The sequence below is a fragment of the Homo sapiens genome, chromosome 18 (assembly GCF_000001405.40).
Source record: "Homo sapiens chromosome 18, GRCh38.p14 Primary Assembly".
In the NCBI taxonomy this organism is placed as follows: domain Eukaryota; kingdom Metazoa; phylum Chordata; class Mammalia; order Primates; family Hominidae; genus Homo; species Homo sapiens.
Window position 1 is genome coordinate 25,522,148 of NC_000018.10, and position 12,064 is coordinate 25,534,211.

The 12,064-nt window shown below is 37.2% G+C and overlaps 1 annotated feature.

Moving 5' to 3' along the window:
• Window positions 10,300-11,499: an enhancer, noted in NCBI's record as "MED14-independent group 3 enhancer chr18:23112411-23113610 (GRCh37/hg19 assembly coordinates)". NCBI's record gives its function as "activates an origin of replication core promoter dependent on BRD2, BRD4, P300/CBP and CDK7 cofactors, and independent of MED14, by STARR-seq in HCT116 cells {active_cell/tissue: HCT116}" and the evidence as "EXISTENCE:reporter gene assay evidence [ECO:0000049][PMID:35650434]".

A 12,064-nucleotide genomic window follows, 5' to 3' on the forward strand; every position in this document is an offset into this window, starting at 1 on the left:
TAAAAATCCCCTAATCTTTTCATTTTATTTAGATAAGAACTTTTTAAAGGATGAATGCCATTTAAGCTTATTAAGACGCTTATTTGTTCTAACATAACACACAAAAACACATTGGTGAATTATCAAGCTGACAATGCACTTAGTAATGAGTAAGGATTAATGTCTTTGCAGAAATGTGATTCATGAATAAAAACTGGTGCAAAATTAAACTCTAGACATACACAGTCATTTGTAACCTTTAAAAAGACTGTGCTGAGTTGTGAATTATTTTTGCATAGGACTGAGGTAAGAGTTATGAAAATATGAGGTGAGAAGAGGTGTTAGGGGGTGATCTTTTTTACCTTTAGGCCCATACTTAAAGCCTCACAACCAGTTGGGTTGCCACAGCTTGCTGCTGTCTGTCCTGCCTCTAGCTTAAAGGCTAGACCAATACAACTACCTAGAGGTCAGCAGCAAACGTTTGTATTGTTTGTGCCTAGACCTTCCCTCTTCATTCCCAGTCCATTTTCCCAGCACTATTTCCACCAAATTTAAAACTCCTAGTAATTGCTATGGTTTGAATTGTCTCCCCCAAAAGGTTGTTGAAGCTCTAGCCCCCAGAACCTGTGAATGTGACCTTATTTGGAAATAGGGTCTTTGAAGATGATCAAGTGACAATGAGGTTGTTAAGGTGGGCCTTAATATCCAATAGACTGTCTCCTTATAAAAAGGGGCAGTTTGGACACAGACACAGACACACACACACACACACACACACACACACACACACACACACACACGGAGAATGCCATGTGAACATGAAGGCAGAGGTTGAAGTGATCCCATGAGCCAAGGAACACCAAAGATTGCCAGCAACCCACCAGAAGCTACAAGAGGCATAGAATAGATTCTTCTTCGCTGCCCTTAGAAGAAACCAACCTGGTCAACACCTTGATTCTGGAGATCTACTAGCCTCCAAAACTATGAGATGATTAAGTTTCTGTTGTTTAAGCCACTTGTTTTGCTGTGCCTTATTATGCCAGCGCTAGCAAACTAATACAGTATGCTTAGTGACCCTGAACCTGACTTTGTCCTATGTACTCAATCTCCCCAGGGTTTAACCCCTACTTCTCCTAAAGGACTCTGATTTTCAATCTACCACCCTTCTATCCTAGTCCTGGCTCCCAGGAACCCATTCTTGGCCTGGCCACGAGGCCCTTATACTCTTGCCCAGCCATGTCTTGCCTTGTTATACAGGAGAAATTTAACATTGACACTGTAAGATATACAGCCTATACTCAAAGTTTCCTCACTGATCCCAAAATATCCTTTATAGCTGAGATTCTGTTTTTTGGATTCAAGATCTAATCAGAGATCATGTATTACATTTGGTCAGTATGTGCTTTAGTCTATTCTTCTTCATCTTTTATGATAACGACATTTTTGAAGATCTCAGGAAAGTTATGTAGAATGTCTTGTAATCTAGATTTGCTCCATTGTTTTCTCATGATTAGACTCAGATTTAATATTTTTGACAAAATTATTACATAGATGATGCTCTATATTAGAGGACTCATAACAACAGTTTGTTTAATAATCGGTCATGCCAAGTTTTCATCAGGTTGTTAAAGTGATGCCCACCAGACTTTTCAATTGTAAAGATACTTCTTTTCCTTTCTGATTAATAAATAATATATTGGGTGGTACTTTGAGATTTTGAGAATTTTTCTCAATCAGATTTTACATATTTTTTAAACTCTTAATTTAAAAATAATTATAGATACACAAAAGGTTACAAAAGATATATACAGCAAGGTCCTGTGCACCCTTGACCTTGCATTCCCCAAAGTTAACACCTTGCATAGTGATAGTTCACTACCAAAACCAGGAACTTTTTTTTTGTTATACTTTAAGTTCTAGGGTACATGTGCACAACGTGCAGGTTTGTTACATATGTATACATGTGCCATGTTGGTGTGGTGCACCCGTTTACTCGTCATTTACATTAGGTATATCTCCTAATGCTATCGCTCCTCCCTCCCCCCACCCCACAACAGGCCCCAGTGTGTGATGTTCCTCACCCTGTGTCCAAGTGTTCCCATTGTTCAATTCCCACCTATGAGTGAGAACATGTGGTGTTTGGTTTTCTGTCCTTGTGATAGTTTGCTCAGAATGATGATTTCCAGCTTCATCCATGTCCCTACAAAGGACATGAACTCATCCTTTTTTATGGCTGCCTAGTATTCCACGGTGTATATGTGCCACATTTTCTTAATCCAGTCTATCATTGACGGACATTTGGGTTGGTTCCAAGTCTTTGCTATTGTGAATAGTGCTGCAATAAACATACGTGTGCATGTGTCTTTATAGCAGTATGATTTATAATCCTTTGGGTATAAGCCCAGCAATAGGATGGCTGGATCAAATGGTATTTCTAGTTCTAGATCCTTGAGGAATTGCCACACTGTCTTCCACAATGGTTGAACTAGTTTACAGTCCCACCAACAGTGTAAAAGCGTTTCTGTTTCTCCACATTCTCTCCAGCACCTGTTGTTTCCTGACTTTTTAATGATCACCATTCTAACTGGTGTGAGATGGTATCTCATTGTGGTTTCGATTTGCATTTCTCTGATGGCCAGTGATGATGAGCATTTTTTCATGTGTCTTTTGGCTGCATAAATGTCTTCTTTTGAGAAGCGTCTGTTCATATCCTTTGCCCACTTTTTGATGGGTTGTTTGATTTTTTTTTTCTTGTAAATTTGTTTAAGTTCTTTGTAGATTCTGGATATTAGCCCTTTGTCAGATGGGTAGATTGCAAAAATTTTCTCCCATTCTGTAGGTTGCCTGTTCACTCTGATGATAGTTTCTTTTGCTGTGCAGAAGCTCTTTAGTTTAATTAGATCCCATTTGTCTATTTTGGCTTTTGTTGCCATTGCTTTTGGTGTTTTAGTCATGAAGTCCTCACCCATGCCTATGGCCTGAATGGTATTGCCTAGGTTTTCTTCTAGGGTTTTTTATGGTTTTAGGTCTAACATTTAAGTCTTTAATCCATCTTGAATTAAGTTTTGTATAAGGTGTAAGGAAGGGATCCAGTTTCAGCTTTCTACATATGGCTAGCCAGTTTTCCCAGCACATTTATTAGATAGGGAATCCTTTCCCCATTTCTTGTTTTTGTCAGGTTTGTCAAAGATCAGATGGTTGAAGATGTGTGGTATTATTTCCGAGGGCTCTATTCTGTTCCATTGGTCTATATCTCTGTTTTGGTACCAGTAGCATGCTGTTTTGGTTACCGTAGCCTTGTAGTATAGTTTGAAGTCAGGTAGCATGATGTCTCCAGCTTTGTTCCTTTAGCTTAGGATTGTCTTGGCAATGCAGGCTCTTTTTTGGTTGCATATGAACTTTAAAGTAGTTTTTTTCCAATTCTGTGAAGAAAGTCTTTGGTAGCTTGATGGGGATGGCATTGAATCTATAAATTACCTTAGGCAGTATGGCCATTTTCATGATATTGAGTCTTCCCATCCGTGAGCATGGAATGTTCTTCCATTTGTTTGTGTCATCTTTTCTTTCATTGAGCAGTGGTTTGTAGTTCTCATTGAAGAGGTCCTTCACATCCCTTGTAAGTTGGATTCCTCGTTATTTTATTCTATTTGAAGCAATTGTGAATGGGAGCTCACTCATGATTTGGCTCTCTGTCTGTTATTGGTGTATAGGAATGCTTGTGATTTTTGCACATTGATTTTGTATCCTGAGACTTTGCTGAAGTTGCTTATCAGCTTAAGGAGATTTTGGGTTGAGACGATGGGGTTTTCTAAATATACAATCATGTCATCTGCAAACAGGGACAATTTCACTTCCTCTTTTTCTAGTTGAATACCCTTTATTTCTTTCTCCTGCCTGATTGCCCTGGCCAGAACTTCCAACACTATGTTGAATAGGAGTGGTGAAAGAGGGCATCCCTGTCTTGTGCCAGTTTTCAAAGAGAAAGCTTCCAGTTTTTGCCCATTCAGTATGATATTGGCTGTGGGTTTGTCATAAATAGCTCTTATTATTTTGAGATACCTGCCATCAATACCTAGTTTATTGAGAGTTTTTAGCATGAAGGGCTGTTGAATTTTGTCGAAGGCCTTTTCTGCATCTATTGAGATAATCATGTGGTTTTTATCTTTGGTTCTGTTTATATGATGGATTACATCTATTGATTTGCATATGTTGAACCAGACTTGCATCCCAGGGATGAAGCCAACTTGATCGTGGTGTATAAGGTTTATGATGTGCTGCTGGATTCGGTTTGCCAGTATTTTATTGAGGATTTTTGCATCGATGTTCATCAGGGATATTGGTCTAAAATTCTGTTTTTTTGTTGTGTCTCTGCCAGGCTTTGGTATCAGGATGATGTTGACCTCATAAAATGAATTAGGGAGGATTCTCTCTTGTTCTATTGATTGGAATAGTTTCAGAAGGAATGGTACCAGCTCCTCTTTGTACCTCTGGTAGAATTCGGGTGTGAATCCATCTGTCCTGGACTTTTTTTGGTTGGTAGGCTATTAATTATTGCCTCCATTTCAGAACTTCTTATTGCAAAACCAGGAACTTTACATTGGTACCATCCACACACTTTATTCAGATTTCATTAGTTTTATAAGCACTTATTTGTATGTATGTTTGTGTGTTGTTCTATGCAATTTTATCAAGTGTGTAGCTTCATGTATCTTTCACCACAATCAAAATCTAAAACTGTTTTATTACCAGAGGACTCCCTCCTGCTACCCCTTTGTAACCACAGCCACCACCACCACCACCCATCCCTAACCCATGGTGACCAAAACGTTCTCCATCTCTGTAATTTTGTCATTTCAGGAATGTTATATAAATGGAATTACACAGTATGTAAACCTCTGGGATTAGTTTTTTCACTCAGCATAATTCTCTTGAGATCCATCCAAGTTGTTGTGCCCATCAATAGTTTACCACTTTTTTGTTGCTGAGTGGTATTCTATGGTAAAAATGTACCATCACAAAATGATTTCTCACATGCAGGGATAATCCCTGCTGGAGTCAGTTGTTACTTTTGGGGGTTGCAAAATTAAGATTTATTTAATACAAGTATCACCTCACTATAAACATTTCCATATTAAAAATGTGAGCCTCAAGAATGTGAAGCCATAAAAGAATGAATTGAAGATTCAGTCCCAGAGTATCCAACTACAGATCTTGTATTTTGCCTAGTCTGCCATATTTACTTGTGCCAGTTTTCACAGTTTTCACTTACTAAGCACCTATTATGTACCTCTCCATTCTAGGTACAAGAGGTAGAAAAGTGAAAAGACATCAGCTGTCCTGATAACCAAAGCTGACAACTATTCAAATATAGCAGCTGCGTGAACAAGATTTTCTAAATGTGGTGAAAAGTAGAAAGTCACAAACCTAAGAAGCTCAATGAAACCACTGAAAGGTAGAGAAAACATAAGAAAAATTATACCCACCTAGACATAATCCAATTGCTGAAAGCCAATGGTAAAAAAAAAAAAATTCTTAAAAGTAGGCAGAGAAAGATACAGAGTGGAATGAAAGAATGATAGTAGATTTTTCTCAGAAACCATTCAAGTTAGGAAAAGAGCAGTAACATCTTGACAGAACTGAAAGAAGAAGAATAAAAAACTATCAACTCAGACTTCTAGTCTCCCCCCAAAAATGTTACAAAAATGAAAATGAGAAACTTCTGTTTCAGAGCAATATGGAATAATGAGAATCAGATTTACCATCCTACCTAAAGCACCTACACATAAATTTTAGAACTACACATATTATGAGACATAAAGACGAACAAAACATAATAATAAAGGTGTCAATTCATCAAGTAGAAATAGCAAAATTAAATGTTCATTTATTTAGTAACACAGCTTCAAAATACATGAAACAAAAATTGATGAACTGAAAAGAGAAATAGAGAAATCCATAATTTATTGTTGAAGAGTAGTCTTCTTGCAGTAATTGGTAGAATAAGTACACAGAAATCAGTAAGAATATAGATGAACTAAAAACACTATCGAATAACTTGACCTGATGTATATTTAGAGAACATTTCTCCACTAATAACAGCAGAATATAAACCTTTCTTTTCAAGTGCACACAACAAACCATATTATGGTCTCAATATCTCAATTAATTTTAAAAACATTGGAAACATACAAAATATGTTCTCTGAACAAGCAAATTCAGTTAGATATCAATTAAATAAATATATCTGAATATTTTCCAAACATTTTTAAGCTAAATAAAACATTTGTAAATAACTCATTGATCAAAGAAGAAATTTTAAAAAAATAGAAATATTTTGACCTGAACAAAAATTAAAACTTGGCATGAAATTTATAGAATATGGCTATGACTATCTTCGGGCAGAATTTATAGCAATAAATTCTCAGAAAAGGAGAAACACCATAAATAAAAGATCTGAGTTTTACCCATAAAAAGTGAGAAAAAGAAGTACAAATTAATCATCTCTGTAGTATAATGAAGGTAATAAAAAGGATAAGAGCAGAAGTCGATGAAATAGAAAACAGAACAATAGAGAAAATCAATAAAACCAAACGCTGTTCATTTTAGGAGATAATGAAATTGACACACCTCTAGATTGATAAGAAAAAGAAAGATAAAAATGATCAATATCAGAAATCACTGCATAATTAGGGATTTGAAAGCATTATCAGGGAACATTATGGACAACATTATGCCAATACATTCAACAATGATATGAAACTCCTTGAAGACCCAAAAATACATAAAGCACACTTATAACTCAATACTAATAAGAAAACAACCTAAAAGAAAAAAATAGGCAAAAGATATGATTAGCACTTTGATAAAAAAGATATATCCTGGTAAACAAGCACATGAAAAAATGTTTAACATAATTAGTCAATAGTCAGTGAAATGCAAATTTCAACCACAAAGAGATATTAGCACACACTCCTACTAGGATACTGAAAATTGAAAAGTTCCACAACGTCAAGTACTGATTGGGGTTTAGAGAAACTGGAGCTCTCACACAATGCTTATGGGCGTGCAAAATGGCAAACAGACTATCACTGACTTATAATGGTTCTTTTTAGGATTTTTCAACTTTACGATGGTGTAAAAGCAATATGCATTTAGCAGAAATCATACTTTGAAGTTTGAATTTTGATCTTTTCCCAGGCTAGCAATGTTTGGTGTGATACTCCCTAGTAATTTTGGGCAGCAGCAGTGAACCACAGCTCCCAGTCAGCCACATGATCAAAGAGTTAACAACTGATACTCTGCATTTTTTTACGTATTTTCAACTTAAGATGGGTTTACTGGGGTGTAACCCCATCATAAGTTGAAGATCTCCGGTATTTATTTACTTGAGAGAGAAAATATGTCCAGACATGTATACAAAGTTCATAACAACTTCATCTATAATAACAAAAAACTGGAAGCAATTCAAATGTCCATTAACCGGGCAATCAATAAACTAATTGTGTTATATTCATATAAAGGAGTATTACTTATCCATAAAATACAGTGAATTTAATTGTGGTAATGTTTGCACACCACCACCACATATTTGCATATATGTTAAAAGTCATCAAATATTACACTCCAAATTGATGATTTTTTGGTATGTGATTTATACCTCAATAAAGCTAATATATAGAGGTATAGATATATAAAAAATATTAATGCATAAGCATATGTAAATACAAGTATTTTGGAACTGAGGAATGAATTCAAAACTAAAAGTGTAGATTTGTGAGTCCAAAGCAAGGACAAAATTTAAGCCATAAGTTTTGCAGGAATCATGAAAGGAAAGCTTGGTTTATAATATTATCACCTATTACAGATAAGGAAACAGGCTCACTTTTTCCGTTTTTTTTTTTTTTTTTTTTTTTTTTAGCCAAGGTCTCACTCTGTCACCCAGGATGGAGTGCAGAGGCGCAGTCTCAGCTCACTGCAACCTCCACTTCCTGAGTTCAAGTAATTCTCCTACCTCAGCCCCCTGAGTAGCTGGGACTACTGGCATGTGCCACCATGCCTGGCTAATTTTTGTATTTTTTGGTAGAAATGGGGTTTCACCATGTTGGCCAGGCTTGGCCTCGAACCCCTGACCTCATGTGATCTGCCCACCTTGGCCTCCCAAAATGCTGGGATTACAGGCATGAGCTACTATGCCCAGCCAGGCTCGCATTTATTATGTGATTTGTCTGCTGTTATACAGCTATTTTTAAAAGCCACAACAAGGATTCCATTATTCTAATGATATATGTATATGTATGTATAATCTATATATACAATGCAATTGTAAAGGATTTGCCAAGTTCCATCTATTAAAAAGTTAGATCGGCAGTTACTTACCTTTTGTAACCCACTCAACTCTTTTCAAAAAGCATAGGCAGGAAGTAGTGACCAAAGACCATTTCTGTCCCTCAATATTCATTTTCAATGAATATTCTTCTTACCCACGTAGAAATATACAAGCATAGAAACAATACCCATACACTCCTCAAAGGGCGAAGTAATTAGATAGATGAGTATTGATTGGTGGTTGGGGACAGGAGAGATCAGGGTATATAAATGAGAGAATAATGAAAGAGGCACATGAAAGATTGAGGATGGGCGTTGTGACCAAGAAAACTTAGAATCTCCATGATCCTTAATTGTCCTTTATTTTGTCATTTGATAGTTAAATTTGCAGTCTCAAAGTCTTTTGAATGATGAACTTTGGGGGCTACATTTGCATGTGCAGACAATAAATTCCTTATTCTAATTAACTCAAAAATTAACACAGATTAAAAAATAAACATTAACTTTCTATGACCAAAACAATTATCAGGGATCAGGAAAAGAAACTACATAAAAGCGTTAGCTTAGCAGACACAAGCGTGTCTGCTGTTACAGATTTGCAAACACCATTCAGCATGGATTAAATCGCAGGCAAAATGAACACACATGAAGAATGTGATAAATTTTTATGCAAGTATAATTTTATTCCAGATAGGCCACAATTCTTTTTAAAAATGAAATGACTTTAAAAATCTAGCAAAGGAGCTGGTAATGAGTACACAGCTCCTCATATTTCTTTTGAGAAATTAAATTAAACCATTTTTCATTTTGATGGGCAAAAAAAAAAAAAAAAAAAAAAAAAAAGTCAAATGCCCTGAAAACAATAGCATTTTTGGTTTTTGAAACAGTAAGCAAGGTCCTTCTCATTTTCCACAAAGATTCACTCCCTGAGTGTGGCTCTGTCATCATGGAATATACGTGTGTTTTTATGGCTGTTATAAACCCATGAATTCTAGGGCTTATGACAGAGAGACTAAACTACCTTTAACGATGGTGGCATGAACAGTAACTCGAGATAGTATATGCCATACTGCACAAAATAGATCATAATATCATCAAATTGGATATTAGAATGGAAACCTCTATATCTGTAAATATTAATGAAAACAGTAGGCTTCAGAACAACCATAGTGGTTGCTGAGAAAAAAATCAACCTAGAAACAGTCTTATGATTTGAAGAACAGATCATCACAATGCAACTGAACTGCTTCAAATCCCCATGGTATTTGAGGTGGGGATGGGGCAGGGGGAGAAAAGAGAGCCTGGGATAAGAAATGTTGTGTTCACATAACTGGCTTTATAGACGTTCAGCAGTAGCACCTTGCCATTCCTGTGGCTCCAGCCTGTTTTATATTGTCCTACAGAAGGAATTCTGGCAGTCAGCTTGTGTGGGGTGTAAAGAAACATTTATGAAATCCTAATTAAGCATACAGTGATTCTTCTAGGGAAATTTTTTTTTTAAGTTATAACCCGGAGGAATGCGGGGTATGGGAAAAGGAGGGACAAAATGGAGGATTGGGGGAGAGATGGCAGGGGAAAAATTTCAAGATTTCCTACTTCATGCTGCGGCTGTCTTGCTCCATTACTTCCTATGATGAGCAAGAGTGTTTTAGGGGCTGTTTTTTCTGCAGCAGGTCAATGTTCTCTGTAAAGAGAAGCAACAGGAAGAGGGCAATGGTTTTGCACTGTGAAGGAAAAATACAGAAACCCGTTAAAGGGAAAGACACTGAGAATAATATTCCTTAGGATCTCTTCCCTCCTGTAGCTTTTTTGTACTTGCCAAACATTATTTCAAGGACAAATAGTTGTCCTTTCATGGCATGCAACTAAAGGAGCTTGGTATTTGGAGTGGATAGATGGAGGGAGAGATTTAATTTATTTTACTTTTGTAGATATAAAAAGTGTACATCGCTGTATACGCAATTACACATTGTTTATCATTTTTATATGGGACACCAACCATTCGTAATGTTTTTACTCACAAGGGCTTAGAGACAAGGCTACTGAAGAACATACAGTGAGTAGTTGCTGGAATAGGCATATGAGAAAGCAAAATAGAAGTTCAATTTCAGACAAGATTCAATACCAATGAAATAAACTCAGGTAATAAACAGAAGGAAGGAGGAAACAATAACATTAAAAAGAGGAAAGAGTTGATTTAAGTATTGCTCTAAGGGGACTCCACTAAGGTAGATTCTTGAAGAACTAAATGTTACTAACAGGCTTCAACTTGGGAGAAATCAGTTAAGATAGCAATAACATTTGTCTTCATCTTGCAATTTTCCTCTAAGGATCTCCAAGCACCTCACATATATACTGGAAGCTAAGAAGTTCCTGACAATGGTAGCTGCTAAACATTTAAACCAGTTGACAAGGGAGCTTGAAGCCATATATAGAGTAGCTCCTTATTTATCCAGAATTGTTATAGGCCATTGGTTTCCAAGGTTTAGCTTGCATCAGAATCACCTGGAGGACTTGCTAAAACATGGATTTCTGGGTCCACTCCCAGAGTTTCTGATTCAGTTGGTCTGGACAGTGGGATGGCCTGGAGAGTTTGCATTTTTGACAAGTTTGGAGTGAGGCTGATGGTGTGGATCCAGGGAACGCACATTGAGAAGCACTGGTTTAGGCACAGCTCTGTCTAATAACGACAATAACCACCACCTGTTGAGCTCTAACGATACACAGGCCACGTGTACTCTATTAGGTGGATACCACTTTCGCCCACATTGTACTGAGAGAGGAAAAAGGAAGAAACTGGTCAGGCAGGTAGTTAGGGTAGATCCTCGGTTGAATTCTTTCAAACAAAAGAACTGCAGGCACAGATAAGGGAACTTGCATGAGGGGCTTGCCTAAGACATGCCCACAGCTGCACAGATAAGAAAGACTACACAGATTACTTGCCCAGACATGCCCACAATGGAAAATTCCATCCCCTGACACATGCGCATTGAGGAGAACAAAGCGATATGGAGTAACTCAAGCTAAGGGCCCACATGTGCACTAGAAGCATGGGGTGGAGCTACCAGAAATTCGTGACTTATGCAAATCATATGCCCAGCCCTCATTGGTTTTTTATAATAGCCTTTGCATTCAACTGTAAAAAGAGCAACCCTCTTCCAGGGCCCCTCTCTGCAGCAGAGAACTTTTTTCTTTCACTTTTGCTCCAACCTCACACATGGTGTCTGCTCTCCTTAACTTTCTTGGTCTTGAGACAAAGGACGCTGGGTACTAACTCAGGCAACAAGAGACTGCTATATTGTGGTGCATTGGCAAGACTGCAACAGTACCAAGGGTGAACGTAAAGATGAGAGACAATAAACCATCACTCAAATCACTCAGCAAGTAGGGGCAGCACTGGTGTCTAGACATGAGTTGGCCTGAATTCGAGTCCTTCACTATGAACTACTACATTGTGCTGAGTAGTGATGGGGATATGAATAGTCTCTAGAAAACTGACTGTAAATTTCAGGCTATATACCACACAAGATGCAGGAAAAAAGTCCACGCACAAAATGTAAAGAAAGTAAATGTTGTTTTTAAGGTGTCATAATTTTTCGAACTCACTTCGATATGCAAGATCCCATCTTTACTATAGGAATTAGTTATGAAGTGTACTGCTGTTACCCAAATATGAGCTGTCCCTTTGTTCTTGTTTGCAAGCTTCTCCCCACTCTTGGCACCACCAAAAATGAAAATCCACTGATACAAATTCATGTTA